Source organism: Homo sapiens, chromosome 6 (genome assembly GCF_000001405.40).
Source record: "Homo sapiens chromosome 6, GRCh38.p14 Primary Assembly".
NCBI classification, from domain to species: domain Eukaryota; kingdom Metazoa; phylum Chordata; class Mammalia; order Primates; family Hominidae; genus Homo; species Homo sapiens.
The window spans coordinates 2,711,381-2,736,751 of NC_000006.12; the positions used below are offsets into that span (position 1 = coordinate 2,711,381).

Sequence of the window (25,371 nt, forward strand, 5' to 3'; positions counted from 1 at the left end):
TTATTGTTAGTGTTCTGGATGTGTTAGCATCCTCCTACCTTCACACTCAGGTGGTTCCATGTTCTAAATATTCTTAGATTCCAATTACTTCAGAATCTCCTCATTAAATGTTCTTGCCTATGGCTCAATAAAGATAAAATGAAATGGGGGGAAGATGCTCCTTGTATTTTCAAACTTTGCACTACTATGACATAGGAGGACAATTTTCTGTTTATCCTGCATGAGCTTTGCTATGGGGTGTCAGCTCTATGGAAGGACCACGACCTCACAGCAACACACTTTAATGGGGCAGCACTTATTCGATAAGCTAAGAAGTGCAAAGATGTTTTGGAAAGGCATCTGAGACACACATTTAGTATGTGACATTATCCATGAACTGAAAACAACTTTTAACAATGCTAAAGTTGGGTATCTTTTTTTTTTAAAGGCAAATTTTAAGGTATATAACTTTAAAGTAGGCTCTAAGCATTTCATCCAAAAAAGCAACATACAAATGATAAATGTTTTTCAAAATAACTAAAGCTCTTTCCTCCAACCATGATATCCTTGACAAAAGGTGCTTCTGTAAAGATGTAAATCATGAAAATACAAGTTATACATTATGCAGGTAAATATGTATCAGGATATATTCAGAGCTGGCCATTTGAAGTAGATTTTTCTCATCTTTTGTTTTAAAGCAGAAGACGGACTGCTGTTAACTGGTCTATTCAAAAAAAGCACCACCATGTTTCCACTAATGCTCACTGTAATCTAAAGTCCTCAAGCACGGATGCCACTCTCCCTTAACATCAGCTTCATCATGTTCCGGGGCTCATGTTCAGCAGAGGCCACCTGAGATGATAAATGACCTTTGTGGAGAGAAGCTATAAATCTAAGCTGGCTCCCTTTTGTCCATCAACGGCAGTCACCAGCTGTGTTCAGTAGCACTCACGTACTCTCTCTGACATGCAGGTCCTGGCTAGCAAATTCCAGAAGATAGGCCACATATGGGTAGGCTTGCCCAGACCCATGTGTCTACTTCAGGCCCTTTAAACTCAAGTAGAGAGCCAACAGGCATTCAAAGTACATCGCCAGTGATGTAAAAGGTCATCTCTGACTTGCACTAAACAGAACAATGGTGACAATGAAAACCCAGCAAATTCACTAGTCTATGACATTCATGTTTTGAGAAACAGATTTAGTGATCACAAAAGTCATAAGCAATAGCTTCTAAACTTAAGCTAAGCAGAATCAAACAAACAGAACCTCCAACGATTTTGAGGTACACTAAGTGGGACCCACTGAGGTTCAGAAGGCCCAAATGAGACGTGCCTCTCTTCACAGAGCCAGACGGCTGCATCGGGCTTTCACACATCAAGACTTCATGGAGAAAAAACTGGACACAAGCTACTCTCTGCCCCCACTCAACAGAGTACCTTGCTTCAAACCCTGAAAAGTCCTGAAGAAAGCAGGCCATTTAAATCCACAAAATGTTAACTCCTGGATGGGATCCTCTCTCTCAAAACCAAGGACTGATCTACAGCCAGGATGCTGGGTTCTCATCCCATTTCTGCTAACCAGACATGTGCCCTTGAGGAAGGCATTTAACATCTCAAAGACTATGCTTCTCTGTCAAATGGGCACAGTTTCCATTGGATCCAAAGATTATTGTGAGGCCAAGATACAGTGACACATGTGAAAGCGCTTTTGGAAAAAGAAAAGCAACATAGTCCCGGCATGGTGGCTCATGCCTACAATCCCAGAACTTTGGGAGGCTGAGGTGGGTGGATCCCCTGAGGTCGGGAGTTCGAGACCAGCTTGACCAACACGGAGAAACCCCATATCTACTAAAAACACAAAATTAGCCAGGCATGGTGGTGCATGCCTGTAATACCAGCTACCTGGGAGGCTGAGGCAGGAGAATCGCTTGAACCCAGGAGGCAGAGATTGCCGTGAGCCAAGATCGATCGCATCATTGGACTCCAGCCTGGGCAACAAGAGTGAAACTCCGTCTCAAAAAAAAAAAAAGAAAAAAAGAAAAGAAAAGCAACATAAATACTAACTTGATTTAGTCTTTCCTTCAGCAAGCATTTTCAAGTTCTGCACAAATGGAGCAGTGCACAGAATCCTTTCTCCATGGCCAAAAGAGAAGGTTCTGTGTGTGTCTCAGTGTGGAGTCTTTGCCACTGCTTGGTGAAATAGGAGTCGCATCCATGCATGGCCCTGATACTTGGAACAACGCTCTCCCTTTACGTAACAGGAGGCACAAAGCTGCCCTGGTATTACGTTAAAGAGAACTCACTCCCCATCCCATGAGTCAGGGCAGGATTTAACTGTTAGCAATGCCCTGGGGAGGTCATTGAGGACCAGCAGGGCCAGGTGGTACAGCCAGTACCTTTTAAAGGTTGTATCCCATATTTAGGCCTACGCATAGGCTGGCAAAGCTGCCCTGAGCTCCCATTCAGTAGAGAAACCGGCTTGGTAAAAATTCCTCTTCAAAACACAAATAAATCATGGCCACTCCCACTCAAACCCAGGATGAAGAATGATTTTTCTTGGGTGAAAAATAATACAAGCCCAAACCACAATGAGATAACACCTTATACCCATTAGGATGTCTACTGACAAAGAAAATAGCAAGCGTTGGCAAGGATGTGGAAAAATGGGAACCCTAGTGCACGGTTGTTTGGAATGTAAAATAGTGCAGCTGCTACAGCAAGCAGTGTGGAAGTTCCTCAAGAGACTGAACATGGAATTGAGGTAGGAGACCAGCAGGACTTGTTTCCAGGACCCGGTCAGAGGAAGTGAAGAAACCAGCCAAAACCAGCAGATGGCAACCAAAGGAATCCCCAGCTGGCCCCATTGCTCATTAGCATAACACATCTCACCAGCCCATGACTCCATGACAGTTCACAAATGCAATGGCAACGTCCCAGAAGTTACCCCCGCTTCTTAGAAAGTTCTAAGTAAACTGCCCCTCAATTTGCATTAACTCACCCCTTAATTTGCATGTAATTGAAAGTGGGTTTGAATGAGTGTAAATACAGTTGCCAATACCCCACACATTGCACTCTGGATGCACTGCCTATGAGTCAGCCCTGCTCTGCAAAGAGCAGTACCATTTGATTAAAGATTGCTGACTAACGTCACTGGCTCATCCTTGAATTCTTTCCTGGGCATAGCCCCAATTTGGGGGCTCGCCTGTCCTGCATCAGAATTATCATATGACCCAGCAATTCCACTTCTGAGTATAGATCCATGAGAACTGAAAGCAAGGATCTCAAGAGCTATTTGTACACGTGTGTTCATAGCAGCTTACTCACAATAGCCAAATGGTGGAAACAAACCAAGTGTCCGCTGACAGCTGAATGGATAAACAAGATGTGGTATATACACACAATAGAATATGATTCAGCCTTAAAAAGAAAGGAAATTCTGATCCCTGCTACAACATGGATGAACCTTGAAGACTTTATGCTCAGTGAAATAAGCCAGACACAAAAAGATAAATACTGTGTCATTCCATTTACAGTAGTCAAATTCATAGAGACAGAAAGTAGAACAGTGGTTGCCAGGGGCTGGGGTCAGGGAATGGGAAGTTGGTCTTTAATGGGTACAGAGTTGGCTGGGCGTGGTGGCTCACTCCTATAATCCCAGCACTCTGGGAGGCCACGGTGGGCAGATCACCCGAGGTCAGGAGTTCTAGACCAGCCTGACCAACATGGAGAAACCCCGTCTCTACTAAAAATACAAAATTGGCCAGGTGTGGTGGCAGGCGCCTGTGATCCCAGCTACTCAGGAAGCTGAGGAGAATCACTTGAACCTGGGAGGCGGAGGTTGCGGTAAGCTGAGATCCTGCCATTGTACTCTGGCCTGGGCAACAAGAGCAAGACTCCGTTTCAAAAAAAAAAAAAATGGGTACAGAGTTGCAGTTTTGTAGGAAGAAAAGAGTTCTGGAGATGGATGGTGCTGACGGGCTGCACGACAATGTGAATGTACTTAGCATCATTGAATTGGACACTTAATGGTTAAAACGGTATTTTATGTTATGTGTCTTTTACTACAATTTTTTTAAGTCATAAAAGCCAATTTCATCTATGTTGCTGTTTGGAACCTTTCTGAGAAGAAAATTGGCTGATCCAAACAATGTTGGGCAGAGAAAAGCGTGGTGTTAACATTACCTGTTGTATGAGCAGGAGGTTTTTCCCTCCTACCTGAGTACAGGGGACTTGTTGGATCTAGGGGAAAGGAGCATCTCCCTACAAGACATCTAAATCAAAGTTGACTTCCAAGAATTAGCTAGTCCTGCTTCACGTGTCTGGCTTACAGGTGAGGGTCAAAACCGCTAGCAAACATGCTTGTCTCAGGTTCATGAATGCAGAAATTCTTGCTGTCTCCCCATTTCTGAGAGAGGGGCCTATTTGTAGCATATGGAATATGAAAGGGTTTTCCCTGCCAGAGGAGATGAAATGTTTGCATAGTCAAATAACTCAGAACACGTGTGAAACTCCAGGCCCTTGGAAAGTCCAAGATTTATGGGACCTGTTCCGTGCTGACCAGGATTCCACGGTTCCTCGTGCACTGCCACCACCCAGGCTACCACGACTGTTGCCCCAGGGATTCCAGAACCTTTGCACTCTGGTCAAAGCTCTCTGCTGCCTATTTTTTTTTTAAACTCTAGTAAATGTTTCTTTGTAAATACAGAGTAACAGAAAATACAGGAAGAATCCTTTAATGAGTCTGAACATTGTGGACAAGCACATTGGTTAAGACAGATAATTATCTCTCTTTCCTAATTTCTTTCCCTCATCACCAAAGGATTTGAGGTTACTACCATGTGGTCAGGACAACTATTTTTATGGACACAAAATCAAAGGATTTTCAAGTATCATAGTTAACCAAAACATCATAAATCACCCCTTCATAGGGTTTTCACTTTGTCAGAAGTTGAAAATTATCTTTATACCTGTATGTAGTAGCTAGGAGCAGAATGTGTTTAAGTGTGATCCTGTTTGGGTAAATCCTTTAAGGAAAATACATATATGCTGGTGTGTGCATTAAAACATCTCAAAGAAATCACAAGAAGCTATTGACTGTGTTTGTTATGCAGATAGAAACTTAAATCGGGGGCATCGAGTATTCTATTTCAGTTATTTTCTGTAGTTTGAATTTGTTACCACATGCTAGTATGTGGTATTCATTCATTCATTCAAGATAAGACCTGGCTATGCTCAGAGGAGTAAGACAGAGCCCTGGCAGAAAACTCCTTACAACCTAGTAGGGGAAACTGATCCACACATTATCAGTTACCATGTGTGTACTGTAATTGGTCAAGAACCTAGGTTCAAATCCTGACTTGGCCATTTCTTAGCCATGTGATCTTGGACAAGCTATACCTTTCTGTACCTCAATTTTCACCTGTAAAATGAGGATAGTAGTTCCTATCTGACAGAGTTTTTATGAATATAAAATGAATGAAAATATGTAAAGCAGTTAGGATGTGCTTGGAACATAGTGAGCTCTCAATAATGCCTGATGTTACTATAGTAAAGATAAGAGACAGGCATTACACCAATAGAAGAAGGATTTCTTCAGTCTGGGCCCTGGGGTATCAAGGCTCTAAAGTGGAGATGCTGCTTGAGCTAGGCCTTAATGGAGAAGTGGTGTTCTGCCAGGTAAGAGGAGGGAAAGGGCATTCCAAGAGAAGGGGACAGTATGAGCAGAAACAGGTTGGTATGACTGCCTGGTTAGCAGCCACTGCAGGCAAGGTGAACTCCTGAACTTTCCTTCCAGGAACGTCTTGAGGAAATGAGAAAGAAAGAGCAGCTTTGTTCGTTTTGAAAGTCCAGTACGTAATTTGTGTAAAGTCTGACCCTTCCTATGCCATTTCAGACTCACTTGTTAAATTTCCTTTTTACGGTCTTCTTGGTAGAAGTTCACACCTGATCAAACATCTGTAAATGAGCTAGTATAAAAAATGAAAATCTGAAATATAAAGCAGGTCCCTAAGCAGACCTCCAGAGCAGACATGCAGAATGCAGCAGGCCTCACACCTCTCGAAATCCAATTGACACCTGCTTCTGGGGCCAGGGAACGTACAATATGGCTGTTGGGCGTTGGGAGATCCAGTTCAGCACCCCCTAAGTGGGGCTGGTCCTGAAGGTCACATTTCCCTGGCTCTCCCGAGATTTGGGATTAGACTGTAATCTTGGGCTTCTCAACCTAAGGTCACACTGAATAAACACCTATATGTTTGAGATAGTGCACTAAGACGCCCTCATCCAATCCTCAGCAGAAGCTTGTGGGTAGACATTATTTTTTCCCTTTTATAGGAGAAAAACTGGGCCTCTGAGAAGTCCAGAAATTTGCCTGAGTTCCTGATAATAGTTCAGGATTTAGATCCATGTCTTCTGACTCCACATTCAGTGCTCTTTTCACTGCTACATGCTGTCTCCTCTGAGAAGTGCTTTAAACTCAGCATTCCAGGATGTCGGCTTCATAGAATCATTGTGTGAGAGATATAAGAAATCCTAGACATCGGCCGGGTGCAGTGGCTCATGCCTGTAATCCCAGCACTTTGGGCGGCCGAGGCAGGCGGATCACCTGAGGTTGGGAGTTCGAGATCAGCCTGACCAACATGGAGAAACCCCGTCTCTACCAAAAATACAAAATTAGCTGGGAGTGGTGGCGCATGCCTGTAATTCCAGCTACTACGGAGGCTGAGGCAGGAGAATCATTTGAACCTGGGAGGTGGAGATTGCAGTGAGCCGAGATCACACCATTGCACTCCAGTCTGGTCAACAGAGTGAAACTCTGTCTCAAAAAAAAAAAAAAAAAAAAAAGAAAAAGAGAAAGAAAAGAAAATCCTAGACATCTAGTGCTGCGGTCTCCAAACCTACACCAAGAATCCCCACCATGCTCATGATTCCAGATGTACTTCCAACATTGTCTACAGACTGAGTGAGTCATAGATTGCTAGTAGCCTAGCCAATATCCTTCTCCCTTCTTCTATTCTAACAGATACCTGGATAATGTGCTCTCCAAAAAAACTACATCCTTTAGCCTCTTTTGAAGAAGGGGTAGCCATTGGTAAATAAGCATAAAAATTATAAAAACCTTTCAAGGAAAACTCTTTGCCCTTCCATCATCCTTCCTTCTTCAAGCTGCAGGAAAAGCAGATATGGTAGGAGCTCCAGCAGCCACTTTGGGACCATGAAGAAAAGGTCAGAGAATTTCAGAGACATTGGCTATAAACCAACACCTCTGGACTTCTTTATTGTGAGGGCCGATATCTTTATGTATAATATTTAATCCACCAGGCATAGAGCTCTGTTTCTAGAAGCTGCATACAATTTCTAACTAAATATTAGCACTACTGAATGTATTACCATTGTTCAGATGTTTGTTTATACTGGTGTGGTTAGTAAGAATCAAATTTATTCAAAAGAACAACTGAATAAAAATAGCTACTAGTCATGTAATTTCTCAACAGGAAATAACAGAAGTATGGCTGCTATGATAAGGAAGTCTGTGAATGTTTTTCTTTTACATTAAGAACGCCTTTAGATATGGCTAGAAGTCACGAGTCTCCTTTGATCCATAAAGTAACTTTCTAAGGCCAGTTATCTGGACTCACGATGTGGTCCTCTTTCCACCATCCCACTGACATTACTTTGGACTGTTCTTGCAGACAGACCATATTAGCAAGGAATGAGGGAAAACGGGGCGCTCATTTTGAACAAAAGTCCTAGGGCTTCTTAGGGAAAGCTAGAACTCTCTACAAAAGGCTCTTCAAAGGGCAGGACATGCAGCTAAATCTTGGGTTACATTCCTGGATCACATCCACCCACATACACGAAAAAACACTCCCGTCAGCTTCACTCATAAAGACCAGTACATTGAATTTTTATCAGTGAGAAAGGTGGGGAGGGGAGGAGGACCAGACCAATGGTATTAAAAAGAAACAAACCAGCAGCATTTCTGTAAACTGGAAGGGTAAGGCATAATCCCCCCAACACATGCACACAAACATCTCATGTTTTATAATAGTTCTTGAAAGAGTCAAAAGAGGGCCACCCTTCCACAGGTAAAATTACGAGTTTGAAAGCAACTAAATACAGTAACTTCCTACCCAGCTACAGAAGGGTCTGTGCCAAATAATTTACTATTAACTGTCTGTGAAAATGTGTGGCATTTTATAGCCCTTGAAGTTTGTGCCTCTGTTTGGTGATTTATTAATTATAAATGGCATGATATATCTCACAGTTTGTCTTTCTGTTATTTTCATTAGCGTAAACCCTCAACAAATTCAAGTTCAGGTAGATTACAAGTCCATTAAAAAAAAAGTATGAAATTTATTTAAAAAGAAGCACAAATTGTATTCCAGGCCTGTAAATTCAGTAACACAAATTAATAGCTAACAAAGTGAGGCTCAAGTGTGTGCCATATCAGAATTCACATCAACAAGCAGCATTTGTCATCAGAAAAATTAGTCTGGGCTGGATGTGGTGGCTCACACCTGTAATCCCAACACTTTGGGAGGCTGAGGCGGGTGGATCACCTGAGGTCAGGAGTTCGAGACCAGCCTGGTGAACATGGCAAAACCCCGTCTCTACTAAAAATACAAAAATCAGTCCTATTCCCAGAGATTATAATTTAATTTACCTGGTCCTTAGAATTTTTAAAGATTTCCCAGGTGATTCTAATACACAGACAAGTTTAGGGACCACTGTCCTAACATTTTTTTTAAAAAAGCAGAGACTAGGCTGGGCGCGGTGGCTCACGCCTATAATCCCAGCACTTTGGGAGGCTGAGGCGGGTAGATCACGAGGTCAGGAGATCGAGACCATCCTGGCCAACATGGTGAAACCCCATCTCTACTAAAAATACAAAAAATTAGCCGGGCGTGATGGCTGGCACCTGTAGTCCCAGCTACTCGGGAGGCTGAGGCAGGAGAATTGCTTGAACCCGGGAGGCAGAGGTTGCAGTGAGCCGAGATCGCGCCACTACACTCCAGCCTGGAGACACAGCAAGATTCCATCTAAAAACAAAAAAAAAAAAGCAGAGACTAAAACTAATGAAACAAAGCAAGTTGGAGACAACAGAGATTATGCAGGGAAATGAGAACTTTAAAAATTACTCATTGATATTAGGCTAGTGCAAAGGAAATTGCAGTTTTTGCCATTAAAAGTCATGCAAAAACTGCAGTTACCTTTGCACCAACCTAATATCTTCAGGGAAATAAGAAAATGTATTAAATCTATGTCACAAGAATAGGATTCGTGTAAAAGAAACATTCAGAGAATAAAAAGAAATTATTGGAAATTAAGACTATGATAGTAGATAAGAAAATTTAAAGAAAGTTTCCACAATAGAGTAAAGAAGTCTCCCTGAAAGCAGAGCCACTAGATATAGAAAAGAAAAATAAAAGCAAAAAGACAGGAAACGTAAAGGACTAGACTAAGAGATCTAACATCCAAATATTAATAATAGGAGTTCCAGAACAAGAATAAGAGAATGTGGGCTGGGCGTGGTGGCTCACACCTATAATCTCAGCACTTTGGGAGGTTGAGGTGGGTGGATCACGAGGTCAGGAGTTGGAGACCAGCCTGACCAACATGGTGAAACCCTGTCTCTACTAAAAATACAAAAATTAGCCGGGCGTGGTGGCACCTGCCTGTAGTCCCAGCTACTCGGGAGGCCAAGGCAGGAGAATCGCTTGAACTTGGGGGGCAGAGGTTGCAGTGAGCCAAGATCACACCACCGCACTCCAGCCTGGGTGACAGAGCAAGACTCTGTCTCAAAAATAAATAAATACATAAATAAATAAACAATAAGAGAACATGAAACTATCCAAGAAAGGTTCCTAGACTGAAGGATGTGAGCACCCAGCAAATGTCCAGCACAATGAATGAAACACTCATACAAAGCCTACCACTGTGAAATTTCAGAAAATCCAGATGTTATGAAAATGCATTCTGGGTACGTGACCTCAAAGTGAGTTGCAGGACACAGTGACTGGGGGACCAAGATAACTGCTGCTGCCAGGAATAACTGCCCCTGCTTTAGGAGTGTTGACCAGATTGTAGGGGATCCAATTTCTTTCAGTAGAAAGTAAATAGATTAAGAAAGCAACTGGATGGTTTAACACACCGTCTATGACTTTTATTTTCTTTCCCTTTTCTTTTTGTGTTATAAAAGGTTAGAGAGGCATGCATCGCAAGCTCAGAGATCTACCCCTTCTTCCTGCTACCCAAGACTGCCTCATATGTAAGTTCCTCCTGAATAAACCTTTGACTACCTACCAACCTAAAGTGGTTTTGCCTCTTTCTTCAGTCTGAACTTCCCTCCACTTACGGACAGTGGTTCTTGGTTCTGGCAGAAACTTTTCCCAATACAAGGACAAATAGAAGGTTTCCCAAGTTGCTAGAGAGAGAAAATATAGGCCACACACAAAAGATCAGGATTCTGAACTTGTTTGGACTTCTCAACAGCTGCATGAAAGCTAGAAGACAATAGAAAACAAAGTCAAACTATCAATGTGTACATATAAAATTAAGACACTTTCAGAAATGTAAGGTCTCAAAAATATACAATCCTCCATCATTCTCAGAAAACTACTGGAAGATGTATGACATCTAAACAGGGAGTAAAATAAGAAAGGAACGCAAAAGATATCTAACAGAGGTGATGCAACATAAAGAGACAGGGTCTTTCCAGACTGTTGGAGAGTTGAAATCCTCAGATACCAGCTGTGCTTCAGACTTAGACGGCAACTACTGTGGAACAGAATAAAGCCCAGATTGGTTAGAAGTCTCTTGGAGAAATTTCTTCAAGAAGATAAAATTGATAGAATATTTAATAAATCTGAAGGCATGTAGAAAGGATTTTGACAATTAGTATACAGTGTGGTTTAGAGTATGAGATGCGTCTTTCAAAAATAAGCAAGTTTTTAAAAATCAAGGCAACCAATAACTCCAGGGAAAAGAAAAAGCTGAGCAAGAAATAAAAATTTATAGTAGTGCTTTACATAGCTTTCAGCCATGAATAATAACATTTTCAAAATCACAATCATTGAAGCACTTTTTATTTAACCAAAAATTATAATATAACTATGTTGAGAGAATGAGAGCAGGAAGTAGGACATAAAAGGAGTGTGTGTGTGTGTGTGTGTGTGTGTGTGTGTGTGTGTGTGTGTTGGAGGTGGAAAATAGAAGAGACCTAATCCTCATCTTTCTCTCTACAGAAGTCAATTTTCAAAACCCAAATATGAAAAGAAAAACGAACACATGCATATTATTTAGACACATGGAGGTAAATAACAAAAGAATCAGATAAAGGAAATGAAAATGTTTACCTCTGGTGAGGGGGAATGGAGACAGAATGGGTAGGAACTGCTGTGTCTTAGCAAAGGCTTTGTAAAACATTATAACTCTTCAAATTATGTAAATGGATAACGAATATAAAAATACAAAGATTTTTAAGTAAAAATATTTTATACATCCTATATATAATGTTTTAATTATGAATGAATTGCCCCAATTCTTAGCATGACAATTTGAGAACCTATTGTATCACCTTAATATGCATTTTTTCAATAATATACCAGCTTCTCATATTTTTGCTTTTTTAAGTTTTTTTAAAAAGCTGAGTCTGGGCATGGTGGCTCACACCTTCGATCCCAGCACTTTGGGAGGCTGAGGGGGGAGGATTGCATGAGCTCAGGAATTCAAGCCCAGCCTGAGCAACATAGTGAGATCCCATCTCTACAAAAACTCAAAAAAATTAGCTGGGCATGGTAGCGCATGCCTGTAGTCCCAGCTAATCAGGAGGCTGAGGTGCAGTGATCACTTGAGCCTGGGAAGTCAAGGCTGCAGTGAGCTGAGATCACGTCACCGCACTCCAGCCTGGGTGACGGAGTCAGACCCTGTCTCAAAAATAAAGAAAAGAAAAAGTTATGTGAGTGCTGATAATTATTAAGATAATTCAGTAAGGTTCTAACTGAAAACTTTCTGTTCTCCATATTTGTGAAACATGGGGAAGAGTTTATTTTAAAGCTCTAATTTGAAACAAATTTGCTGAAGCAATTGAGCATTCAAATATTGGGGAATAAAACAGATGCAAAGATCTCTCAAAAAAACTGCTGACGTCCCTCACACTGAGTTAGCTTGAGGTTCTCTCGCCCTCGCTGGCACCCCAGGGTCTGCGTTTGCTCTTTCACTTAGAATCAATTTTCCATATTTCCTTTTCACTCATGGCCCCATCAGAGCACCTTGTAAACTTACGGTTTTGGCTTTTTGCATCCTCAATAAGAGCTCAGGTAGAAGTGGTCGGGCTGTGGGTAGCTCTGCCTCCAGTCATCTCTGGCTAAAGAGACACCCTTCATTAGGTTGGCAGCACTTTGGAGCCCCACTATTTCTGGGATCTAAGACAACTTGGTTGTCTTCTACACAGTTATTTTGTCAGTTTCTAATGCCCTTCACAACGGCTTTGGTGATTGATTATTTTATTTTATTTTATTTTATTTTTTATTTTTGAGACAGGGTCTCACTCTGTCACCCAGACTGGAGGGCAGTGGCGTGATCTCGGCTCACGGCAACCTCCGCCTCCCAGGCTCAAGTGATTCTCCTGCCTCAGCCTCCCAAGTAACTGGGATTACAGGTGCGTGCCACTACCACTGGGATAATTTTTGTATTTTTAGTAGAGACGGGGTTTCACCATGTTGGCCAGGCTGGTCTTGAACTCCTGACCTCAAATGATCCACCCACCTCAGCCTCCCAAAGTGCCGTGATTACAGGCATGAGCCACCATGCCTGGCTGATTGATTATTTTAAAGATGACCTTGTTTTCCCTCCCTTACCCAGCATCTGCTACAGATGGGCGATACACATAGAGGACTTTCCAGTGACTGCTTAGTCATTGTCACCAAAAACCCATGTCTCCCAGTGTTCCTGCTCCTGAGGTTCCAAAAAGGAGTTGTCCTGGATAGGGGCACATTAAGAAATCCCAGAGGGTTCAGATCTATAGGAGCTATGAAAGGGTTCCTCCAACTGGATCCGGCCAGGGAGAAATCAATCACTAACGCAGGGGGAAAGGTATGCAGGGACCTTTCGTCACTTGGTGCTGGAGAAAGGAAGTGTGAAGGGTCGGTAAAAGCCAAAAGGGAAATCATGAAGGGAAGGATAAAGCTTTTTACTCCCAAGTTAAAATCACACTACAGAAATCCATCCTTCAGACTTTTATGATCAGTTGCTAAAAAGTCCAAGACATTTGAGCCTACTCCAAAGTGCATTTCTTGCAGGATATTTTGAGGGAATTCATTTTGTAATGATGCGGTGAACACAGAGCCCAGCCCGGTCTGTCTCTGAATATTGTACATAGCACAGCAACACACAAATAGAAAATTAGCGAATGTCTTGATGATTAAGATCATGTGACAGGGAGACCTCGTATTCTATTAATTCAAGAAGCACAATTTTCTAAGTTAAAGCCCATAACACAACTCAAGCATAGTAAAACTATATATAATTAAGAATAGGCTGGGCATTTTGGGAGGCCGAGGTGGACGGATCACCTGAGGTCAGGAGTTTAAGACCAGCCTGGCCAACATGATGAAACTCCGTCTCTACTAAAAATAGAAAAATTAGCTGGGCATGGTGGCACACACCTGTAATTCCAGCTGCTCGAGAGGCTGAGGCAGAAGAATCACTTGAACCTGGGAGGCGGAGGTGGCAGTGAGCCGAGATAGCCCCACTGCACTCCAGCCTGGGCAGCAGAGTGAGACTCTGCCTCAAAAACAAACAAAAATAGAATATGGGGCTAAGCATGGTGGCTCATGCCTATAATCCCAGCACTTTGGGAGGCTAAAGTGAGAGGATTGCTTGAGGCCAGGATTTCAAGACCAACCTGGGCAAGATAGGGAGACTCCATCTCCACAAAAAGAATTAAAACAATTATCCAGGCATGGCATGGTGGTACACACCTACAGTCTGAGCTACTTGGGAGGCCAAGGTAGGAGGATCGCTTGAGCTCAGAAGTTCAAGGCTGCAATGAGCTATGATTGCAATGATTGCACTACTGCACTCCAGCCTGGGTGACACAGTAAGGCCCCATCTCAAGAAAGAAAGGAAGAAAGAGAGGGGGAGAGAGAGAGAGACAGAGAGAGAGAAAAAGAAACAAAGAAAGAAACAAAGAAACAAAGAAAGAAAGAAAGAAAGAAAAAGAAAGAGAAAGAAAGAAAGAAAGAAACAAACAAACAAACAAAGAAGGAAAGAAAGAAAGAAGGAAAGAGAGAGAGAGAAAGAAAGAAAGAAAAATTTTAAAAAGAATATCCTGTAGATAAGTAGAATGTAAAGCTTATCTTTTAACTATCGATAGGCAGAGCACTTCTTGAAATAACCTCATGTGTTCTGGGAGAATATACATCAGAATTCAAAGTACGTCCAAATTTAACATTTTTAAAAATCAAAGAATCCTGCAGTTTGGAGGGACACGTGAGTGCCTCTCACTCAGCCTTCTGTGATATTAATAATATACCTGATAACCGATCATCCAGCCACGAGCTCTCTATTTCATAAGGCGCTCTAGCACGGAACAAGCTCAGTGTTTGGAAGGTCTGTTTTTATATAACAAGGTGAGTAAGATAACCCTGGTCTCTTATCTTTAAGACAGACTTTGAGGGGTTTTCCAAGGAGTAAGCAGTGGCCAACAGCGCTGAGTCGTCCCTTTGTCTGGCTGACTTCTCTCGTTATCAGTTGCAAACATCTCATGGAGTTAAGGCATTAAAAAGACTGAGAAATAATCTACATATCCAGTGTGTTTGGAAAACATATACTGTTATTAAAGTCCAAAGATTACCTTGAGACTCTCTAACAGCAAAATCGCAAAAAAGGAAAATGTTTTGGGTTATAGACCAATGTAATAAAAAGCAGAAAGATGTAGTAGGTGAGAGGAGAGAAGGAGCCCAGGGCCAGCAGAGTCGTAGCCATTTTGCCAGGAAGTAGCTTTAAGGGTTTCTGGACTGTTAGGCGAGTAGCTGGCCTGAAACCAGATCTCAGCGTGCAGGGGCTGCTTCCGTAAATTGCATCCTTTCAGTCACTGAGAAAATTACTCACTCCAACTTAGAGGAGACAAAAACCATGCCCAGAGTTGTTAGGTCATTACCAAATATGAGAAGTCAAAGTGAGAAGCCAGGGAACTCCAAACTAAAGTAGCTCCCACATCCTTAGCTGTGTGCCTACTATACAATTTTTTTTTTTTTTTTTTTTTTTTGAGACAGAGTTTTGCTCTTGTTGCCCAGGCTGGAGTGCAGTGGCGGGATTTCGGCTCACTGCAACCTCTGCCTCCCGGCTTCCAGCAATTCTCCTGCCTCAGCCTCCTGAGTAGCTGGGATTACAGGCGCCCGCCACCATGCCAGGCTAATTTTTTTATTTTTAGTAGAGATGGGGTTTCACCATGTTGGCCAGGCTGGTCTTGAACTCCTGACCTCAGGTGATCCACCACCTCAGCCTCCCAAAGTGCTGGGATTACAGGCGTGAGCCACCGTGCCCGGGCACCTACTATATAATTAACCAAATGATTACCTGGGCTAAAACAAATTTCTGTGTAAATATCTTAAAACTGTATTATTATCTCACAGCGGGAGAGATCAGTTTTGTGACACAAAATACTTTGACATTGTGAACGTGTCAGATTCTGCCATCTGAAAGGTGGCCTTTTTCAGCCCACTGTGTGGCTTCAGAGATGTGGGCAGAACAGGTGGAATCCAACTTAGGGGATTTGCTCTTTCTGGTCTCACTGTCAGTTTTCACAGATCTTAAAGAAGTGGCTGCATTAACTAAGTCAATCAAAGCCTGCTCCCTTTTAAAGCAAAATGAAGCCACTGCTCAGCCTTCAACATAAAAACCTGGATTCCACTACTGTAAGATTCTGCCCACAAGGAAAGAGAAGACCCCGGAAAGCGCTGCAGTGCTGTCAGCCTTAAATGGAAGTTGGGAGAGCTGGAGGAATGCCACGGAAAGAGCTGCCCAGAGCTAGAGGCCGAGGCACTGAAAAACTCTGCCTTCTCCTCTAGAGTCTCAGGAGGGGCCCTGATCCCTGCCCCCATGCACAAGTGAGTGGGAACCCCCCCAAAGACAGCCGCTCTTCATAGAAAATGACAGTCATACTTCAAAATTGTAGAGTGCCTACAAACCGCTCGAGGTTGCATCTGGACAGAAGGATCAGAAGTTTTAATTTCATAGGCCTGGAACAGGGTTCTAAAATAAAAACTAATAAGACGGTTCATATCTCATCATCATCATTATTATTAATAATAGCTATCATTCACGCCTGTAATCCCAGCACTTTGGGAGGCCGAGGTGGGCGGATCACGAGGTCAAGAGATAGAGACCATCCTGGCCAATGTGGTAAAACCCCGTTTCTACTAAAAAGACAAAAATTAGCTGGGTGTGGTGGCGCATGCCTGTAATCCCAACTACTCAGGAGGCTGAGGCAGGAGAATCGCTTGAACCCGGGAGGCAGAGGTTGCAGTGAGCCGAGATCACGCCACTGCGCTCCAGCCTGGGCGACTGAGCAGGACTCCGTCTCAAAAAAAAAAAAAAAAAAAAATGCTATCATTTACTTAGGGCTTACAGTAGCCCTGGTATAGCCCTTATTTAATGCTCACCTCAACCTTGTATGGGCTCCATTTTCCCCCATTCTACACACAATTAAACTGAGGCACGGAAAGGATAAGTAATGAGTACAAGGTCACTGAGGCAGTAGGTAGCAGAGCTGATATCTCTATTTTTAAAAGTGATCCAGGTACCACAGTTTGAAAAACAAAGGTCCCAACAAATGGCATCAGACATTGGGCAGCAAATACTGCTGCAGGACTTTGTATATGTTTCTCCTTATTTGTCTTTAGGTGTTTTTCGTATGTAAGACACAGGCAGTGCAGGGGAACCTTACTGTTTTCTACAGAATGAGAGGGGTCTGAGTCCCCGTCTCTCTGAAGAAACCACTTTTGTGTCTTTTATTTAACTCATCATGTATTGTCTGAAGAGTTTTATTAAAAAAAACAAAACAGTCTGATGATGCCCAGCCCTGGAGAGGTGGGAGCTCCTTTGCCAGGATCTCTGTGTCCCGCAGCCGACCTGCCTTGGCATCCTCATCTCCTGCCACTTCCTGTTTTACCCCATGTGCTTGCTGGTCCCTGAATTCTCTTCCATCTGTCTTTCCTCATCCTCCTGGCCCCAGTGGCTCCCCAGCCATGCCCAGAGAGGTTGGCACTCCAGCTGAGGCTGCAGCTGGGAGGCCCGTGGAGGCCACAGAATGTGTTTTCCTTCTGTCCTTCTGTCCTAGTTATCACAGTGACCAAAATTTCACCAACCTGGAAACCAAGCACATTTACATCTGCTTTGACTTGATCTGTCAAACCAATCTGTCAAGCACCCACCTCCCAATAACAGGGTCCCTGGCATCTCTTTCTTCTTCCATCCACACCCACCCCAAGAAGCTATCTCTGCTGCTGACCTCAGAGGAAAGAGAGCTGAGAATCTCCACGGTGGATGGCAGATCCTGGCTTTCTGTGTCTCTGCCTTCTGTTGCTACCTCCCCATTTTGCTATCATAGGGCTTGGCAATAGAATGGAGTCTTTGCTGGTTGCTATGTGTACACACATGCCATGGTTCAAGGAGATACCCACTCCCTCCTGGCTCACTGTCCACCAACTGTGCTCACGCTTGGGATCCCAAGGTTCCAGCTCTTTAGCTCACACTCCTGCAAAGCCACAGTTATGACACACACTTCATGTGCCAGCCCCACTTACAGGCCATGCCCCTATTATCATGCAAATAAAAATACAGGATATGCAGCAAATTTCAAAGACTCCATTCTATTGCTCAGCTATAGTGCCAACCTCTCTGGGCATGGCTGGGGAGCCACTGGGGCCAGGAGGATGAGGAAAGACAGATGGAAGAGAATTCAGGGACCAGCAAGCACATGGGGTAAAACAGGAAGTGGCAGGAGACGAGGATGCCAAGGCAGGTCGGCTGTGGGACACAGAGATCGTGGCAAAGGAGCTCGCACCTCTCCAGATACGCAACAAATAACTTTGGTTTGTGTACTGATTATTACAAACTTATACTAAACACGATCCACCATTATCTGATATTCCAGTTTCACCAAGGGGCCCTGTATTTTTTCCCTTAGTTCCCCAACCCTAAACCCTGCCTGCCGCAGGGGGCCAGGCTCCCTCAAGGAGTGTTTCTCTTCTGCCTCTCAGGATGCTTTCCAGACTGGACTTTAGTGGATCAGATGTGTTTTAGTGACTTTGAACCTCACTGGGGAGGGGGTGAAGGCCTCATGCTGTTTCTCTCAAGGAGGCATTTTTCAGCATTTACCCACCAAGACCATTGGGAGAGAAGTTTCTGACAACCTACAAAGAACCCTGTTAGGACCTATATGAAGGCAGTGGCTTCTGTGATCTTTTTTCATTTATATAAGCAAGAAGGGTGGCTGGAGCAATCCCTCCCAGCTGGGCCACTGGGCCGAAAGCAACTTCTTCCCTCCATCCAGACAGAAACACAGTTGGCGGTCTTCAAACGCTGGATTTTCTCCCTAAAGCACATCGCCTTACTGAAAAACTCACTATACTTCCTTTAAAACTTCATGATCTGGGGTCTTTCAGATAAAATGTCAGTGGTTCGACAATAATGAATGGACAGGTAGCTAAGAACAGCGTGCTGGGGAAGCGTTCCGCAGGCCATCTGCCTGCAGCATGTAGTTCACACCCTCCATGGAGCTGCCCTTTGGGGAGGTGAGGGGCTGAAAGCAAGCGTGTGCTCCCTTGGCCAAACCCAAGGAGGGGAAGCGCTGTCAGCTGGCCAAGATGTGAGCCAACAGGGCACGTAGAAGGATATCCCTCCCAATCTACTGCCCCCAAGGGAGCCCCTCTTTTAATTTTGTGCCTGCTGGCTTGGAGTGATACATTATTCTTGGAGAATTGTCCAGCATAGCGGGAGGAAGGATGCAGAAACAGGGGCAAGTGGTTGAACCTGAAAATTCCCAGTTTTCCTTCATTGCAGCATTGAATGAGGGGCTGTAAGTAGCCACAAGAGCAGGTCCCCGTGTGGTTAAAGGCCCTGGCATTCACTTAACAGGCGAATTTCCAGGCAACATTCTCTTACTCAGCACTTTTAATCAAAATAATCAGTCCAGTGTCTGAGGAGGAATGAATAGGGCAGTGTAGGAATCCCCTGTTGCTAATGAAACATTTAAAAATCCAGGACAGTAATGGCCTGTGCTATTTAATACAGAGGAGATGCTTACCACAGCCCCCTCATACCCTGTTTTTTTTTCTTATTTGCAAAAGGAAAAAAAATAGAATTTATTCATCTTAAAAAAATACGAAGTGAAAAATTATCCATTAGCACAGCAAAGACCTATTTCCAGGAAACGAGTTTTAAAAAGAAAATTCTTGACATCCTAAGGTTGAAAGCGGGAGGTGTCATGACTTTGAACGTGAAGGATGAAAGGGCCACTGTGTCCAGGTGCAGTTCAGCCTGGCCTCATTTCATCTGTTACGGGAGGCTGCTTAAACCCCTGGTTGTGGTCCAAAAATATCCTGGCAGTTAGCATCCTGCATTAAAATTTATAAACCACGAAAGACCTTTTCTTACAGAAAAGCTAATTCAGGCTGGATAGCCTTTTTAAAAAAAAGATTTAAAAGGGGTAGTCATCAGAAGAGGTTATATGGAAAACTAGAGGTAAGTAATGCTTTTCAGTCCCCCAAAACATACTAAAAATACAGCAACAGTAATTTCAGAAGGAAGGGAAATGGTACCAAGCATAATTTCGTTTCTAAGAAGTCCCAGGAATGAATCCTGGAACTGCTAGAATGAACTTTTAGGGGTGACAAAAAAAATGGTTGGAATATTATCAGGAAATGGGAACTGACAAGAGGATGGAAACAGGCTGCACCTTGGTGTCTCGGCTCTGGGGCTGGATAAGGGGCCCCAGTTTCTCTGGACTCTAGGTAGGCAGGTCTGAAACCTGGTCACTGAGCCATGGCTGCTGGAGGTGCTTCTCCCTCTGCCTGGCCGCATTCCTTCACCCCATGCTGAGCCTTTGCTGAGCGCCTCCTATGTGCCCTGGCTTTAGTCCCTGCTATCCTTCAGGTGCAGATGAAACTTCACCTGCTCAGAGATACCTTCCTTAATCCCTACAGATTAGATAAAATTCCCCTGCTCTGGACTCCTATGGCACCTGCTCTGGTCTTAACCCTGAGCACACTTTTCCACTGCTGAATTCTCTCTAAGGTTGGTGGGGGAGGGGACTGTTTCTTTCATTAATCATTGTATTCAACCTCCCTTACTCATCCAGCCCACACCCACCCGTTGGGTGCTTAATGAATACTGGTAAAATGAATCAATGCTATTTTCTGTGAGTCCAGTTTTATATGCGTAGGTTATCTTTTATTATAAAAGGACCTGGAGATTTGGCTCCAAAGTTGACATTTTAAGGAGACTGGTGAGGAAGAGCAAGTGGCAGCAAGTAGGTGACCATGGCATCATTCTTTGAGTAGTGGGGAGGCCATCCACAGGCAGTCAGTCTGACCATCTCCAGGGAGCAGAGAGTGCACTCCATTTCTGCACAAACTTAAGTGAGAGGGAGGAAGCCTAAACAGACCTGGAAATTGACCTGGACCAGCCTGCTCATACACCTGCAAAATGCACCTGGAGGATCATAGCCTCTAAGACGTATGCTGGCCTTTGGCCAGCCTTGTTTTCTTCCTGATTCACGTAATCAGACATGCCAGCTTCCACGAAATGATAAGCTTCTGGAGTGATGGTAACAATACCATTAATAATGATTTTAGCTACCTTTTAGTGAGTGCTAACCTTGAGCCAGGCACAGTCCAAGCCTTTTATGCACAGTATATATTTACCTGCACAGCAGCCCAGATGAGAACAATGGCGCTAACCCCATATTTCAAATACCCACTCAGCAAGCTGCAGAGATTTACATAGGTCCAACAGCTCATCGTGATGGGCACTGGAAACCCCATTTCTTTGGCCTCTTCTATAGATCCTAGTGGATACCTGAGCACTCAGGAAGCACTCAGTAAATCCTCTCAACTTAGCCAGAGCAGGGTAGAACAAGTCCTTGTATTTCTGTTTACAGAAGCTTCCACCTGGGTCTACACATACAGCCACAGAGTCAGCCTGAGTGGATCCTGGGCTGACAGAGTTTATCGGCCAGCTCTGCAGTGGCCCTAGGAACATCACACTGTGCCTATCATGCCAAGTGACCCCCGAGACCCACTGGAGCTGAGAGAGCCTGAGGAGGGTGTCAGACCAACATCCTGGGTGGTTGCTGTAGTTTCCTCTGATGCCTTAAAACTGAAAATCTAGAGGGTTTGCAGGAACGACCAAAGGGACTGCACTGTGCTTTGTTTCTGCTGGGAGTGACCCTACATCACAGAGAGTTTGGGCTTCACTCCACCTAGCCCTGGCTGTTCCTTCCAAACATTCTTTCACTCACAACCTTCCTTGACCCTCTGTCCCCATCTGCTCCCTTGATCTATTTGTGGACGTGCTTAGAGCTAAATAACACTGGAGTTGGATTTCATTCAATTTCTCAAGTCGATTCAAGGAAGGTTGACTTTATTATAACTATTCAGGCAGAGAATGGCCCTTCTATCTGCTTTCACACAGAACAAAAATGGTCTCAGCTCTTCTTTAAACTGTCAAATTATATCCTTCTTCTTTTTGAATTATTTATAATCTGTTGTTTTTACCCTGCAAAAATGGGCTTTTGCTACTTCAACCACATATTAGGCCTTTTATGCAAACTGTAAAAGAAGCCAGCCTTCTGTCAGAGAAAGGCTTCTGACTTCACTAGGTATAAGAGAACCAAATTTTTATCCCCATAAAATTTTTCCCATTTCAGTCATAGCACAGCTGATGCAAAGGCAGAAGAGTTATGGTGGAAATGGAAATACATGTGTAAAAACTACAGTCCCTACAGTTTTCTGTGAATTCATAATCCCCAGAGACCAGCAGACCTCAGAAACCAACCAAGCAATGGGAGGAGCTAGAAACTCAATGGTATCAGCCAAAATGAGCATGGAGTGTTCACTCAGAATGAGGAACCACCGAGGAGGTGTGCGTCATCAGCCTCACTCACAGAGAAGGAAGCCTACGTGGTCACAAGACTGAGCTGTAAGAGGGAGGGGCAATGCGTAGTCAGCCCAGATAGAGCTCAAATGTTTTAAAATTTAATACGTTTTTTATTATAAGGTCTAACCAATCCCTAGCAATGACACAATATCACTCTCTCAGCTCTCAGTTGGCACCTCCTGGTAGGGTGAGTTTAGAAGGATGAAGGAGGAAAGTGAGAGGATAGCAATCAAGTGGATTCCCTTCAACAGCACGAACCACACTTCTCATGAGACCCCTGGAGGGTTATCCAAAGCACAGATTCCCAAGCTTCGCCCGCGGAGACGCTGCTTTGGTGGCACTAGGGGAACCTCGCAATCTGGATGCTAACCTAGTACCCCAGGTGATTCTTATCTACAGTGGTTCTCATCCCCGATACATAAATAATAAATGTCAGCGCATCCCAAAACTTGCTCAAAGTCAAGGTCACTTATCTAACGTGAGTGCCAAAGCCCAAACGGACCACAGACTCCAGACACTAGTGACCTTTCCATTCAACCCTGGGAACGTATGAGCCAAAAAACATGCTAAAACCAGCGACAGTAGAATGCAATGGTATTCAGCTGCTCCATGCCACACGTACTCATGTCTGCAAACCCTTGCTAGCGGGCACCTGCCAGAAGCAACTCTGTTACAGGATGGAATCTCACAGGTTGTTCCCCTACCCAGCACATATGCGGCTTTCGCTAAACCATCTGCTGCTTTGCTGACAAGGACAGACCAAGGAATTTCCATGCTGCGGTCTGTCAGCGTCTGTCACAGGGCCACCACCCTTTGATTGGGCGAGGAACTTGGAACTGAGACCTGTCCTCCAGGAGACCAATGTGACCCTCCCAGGGCAGAGGGAGTGCTGCCACTTCACACGTCCTCTCACCCGGGCTTATCTAACTGGCCACAGGACAAGTTCTGTGTTTTGTCGGCCTGGGAAATCTAATGGAAAGGACTATTATTAGAAATATTTATCTTATCAAGGAAAATATGCTCTTAAAATGTTCAAGAAAGGATGCTGCCTGGTTCCCAAGGAATAGCCTGAAAGACTATATATATATATAATATACACTCATACACATATACATATTATACACACACATACACATACATGTATATATGTGTGTGTATTTAAATGTAATATGCATATGAATATTACTTAGGTAAGCATATATTCACAACTGCAGTAGTATGTTACCTTTATTTTTCTTTCAGCAGTTTTTTGAAGTAAACTTCATCATCTGACTGCAGGGGTTAATGAATATTCTAGTGCTTCTCACACTCTGATGTGCACATACATGAGTCATTCAGGAACCCTGATGATATGCAGATTCCTATTCAGCAGGTTGGATGGGGCCCGAGAGCCTGCATTTGTAGCCAGCTCCCAGGGAATGCTTGAGGCCCAGGCAGGAGCCACTCTGAGCAATCAGATTCCAGCTTGTGATGATGTTTGCATCACACATAAAACAGCACCTGTCAAAGCTTAGAATATGTAAAACAAACAAAACTAAGTTCAAATTAAGGCACTCTTTCTTAGATGATTCAGAAGGAACTTCAGAATTTGGGCAATGCCTCTTAGCCATCATTACAAACAATTCTTCCCGTATTAGAGCCATTTCAGTAATAACAGACAAGTCCTGACATACAAGAATCAGGTTGCCTTCTTCTTCATAAAGGGACAGAAAGCACCCAGAACTACAGGTATTTTTCTCTCATTTTTGATACTCTGATCTGAAGGTAAATGAAGAAAGCCAGGGCATGTCAGGCCACTTTGACTGCTTAAAATTGATTCTGCCAGTCTAGAAATGATTAAAATTCCAATCTTGGAAGCTCTTGGGAAAAATATACAAACGCTATATTATTCCAAATATTCTGCTATATGAAGGCTGGCCCTATTCATCACATTGTTTAAATATTTGAAATAAGTACATTAATCATTATCCTCACTTCTAAGACATCAAAGACAAAATTATGCCTAAAATGTATTGGTAATAACTAGTACACAATTGAGAATGGACATGTCTCATGTGAAGGATACAAAGAAATACAGAGAATGATCCCCATGGGGACGGAGCTGCAGCTTTTCAGGAATGGAGGTCCAAACCCATGACATAGTATTTATCACACAGGGCCCCAAAACTATGCACACACCTGGCTCAGCGTATGTAGTCGATGCAAACTGGGGAGGTAAAATTAGAATCAACTGTGGTGGGATTTAAATCTGGCCTTGAAGGATTTCAAAAGGCATAGAAGAGGAGAGAGAATGAGAGCAGGTTTGGGGAGAAACAATGAAGCGGAACAGAAATTAAGGTTTTGGATCATGTCTCTAACAGACAAATTGCTAATTTAATCCTCCCAATAATCCTGCAAGGTTGGCATTATTACACCAATTTGGTGAACCAAGAACTGAAACTCAGAAAAGCTAAATGACTGAGGTCACACAGCCGGTAGGTGGTCTCCAAGGGGATTTGAATTTGGGCCTGTTTGATATCAAAGTCCATCATCAGTCCACCCTAAACCAGCACGCCCCAAAGCACATCTCATAGCTCCCTAAAATGTTAATAATGAGTCAGGAAAAAGAAAAGGTCAGAAGTCAAATAAATTTTGAAAGCTCTCAGGATAAATAATAATACTGTTACAGATATAAGTTAACATTTATTACATGCTTCCCGTGTGCTTGCTTTAAAATATTTGTTATTATTGCTGTTGCTGTTGTTGTTTTTGAGATGGAGTCTCGCTCTGTCACCCAGGCTGCAGCGCAATGGCGCGATCTCGGCTCACTGCAACCTCCGCCTCCCAGGTTCAAGCAAATCACCTGCCTCGGCCTCCCAAGTAGCTGGGACTACAGGCACCTGCCACCACACCCAGCTAATTTTTTAACAGAAACCTCTCAGGGCCTTTAACACTCTAACCTGCATTGAAAATCTCTAATATTATGTGTTGGAATAATATTAAAAATCTCACATAAGAGAATATTGATCATGCAAAAACATAATACTGAAATAGATAATGGGAAGTAGACTCTGATGGGTTTCAATGATAAGTCATTATGTTATGGTGAACTAGCTTCAGAGCTAGACTGTATGCCTGGTGGCTTTCCATTCTTCCTGACATCCCCAGCTAATTTCATTTAAAAATACACTCTAACAGACTGTGGCAATTCTCAGGGGAAAAGGACAGAAACTGGAAGGTGGAAACACAG

The 25,371-nt window shown here is 43.4% G+C and overlaps 1 protein-coding gene and 1 long non-coding RNA gene across 6 annotated transcripts in view, besides 3 other annotated features; both read right to left on the reverse strand.

The window, feature by feature from the left end:
- Positions 1-25,371, reverse strand: part of MYLK4 (myosin light chain kinase family member 4) — a 106,740-nt gene that overhangs the window by 47,744 nt on the left and 33,625 nt on the right. The gene's annotated exons all lie outside the window — the stretch shown is intronic.
- On the reverse strand, positions 9,739-12,533 carry LOC124901240 (uncharacterized). Its single transcript, XR_007059406.1, has 3 exons — positions 12,264-12,533; positions 10,336-10,483; positions 9,739-9,773 (listed from the first exon to the last, which is right to left on the reverse strand). It is a non-coding gene; the product is annotated as an uncharacterized LOC124901240 (long non-coding RNA).
- Positions 21,978-22,167: an enhancer, noted in NCBI's record as "active region_23872". NCBI's record gives its function as "activates an Ori minimal core promoter by ATAC-STARR-seq in GM12878 lymphoblastoid cells {active_cell/tissue: GM12878}" and the evidence as "EXISTENCE:reporter gene assay evidence [ECO:0000049][PMID:35858748]".
- Positions 22,390-23,080: an enhancer, noted in NCBI's record as "H3K27ac-H3K4me1 hESC enhancer chr6:2734004-2734694 (GRCh37/hg19 assembly coordinates)". NCBI's record gives its function as "activates a minimal SCP1, AML or CMV promoter by ChIP-STARR-seq in primed H9 embryonic stem cells {active_cell/tissue: H9 hESC(primed)}" and the evidence as "EXISTENCE:reporter gene assay evidence [ECO:0000049][PMID:30033119]".
- Positions 22,675-22,969: a silencer, noted in NCBI's record as "tiled region #934; K562 Repressive non-DNase unmatched - State 6:EnhF". NCBI's record gives its function as "represses a minimal TATA promoter and a strong SV40 promoter by Sharpr-MPRA in K562 cells {active_cell/tissue: K562}" and the evidence as "EXISTENCE:reporter gene assay evidence [ECO:0000049][PMID:27701403]".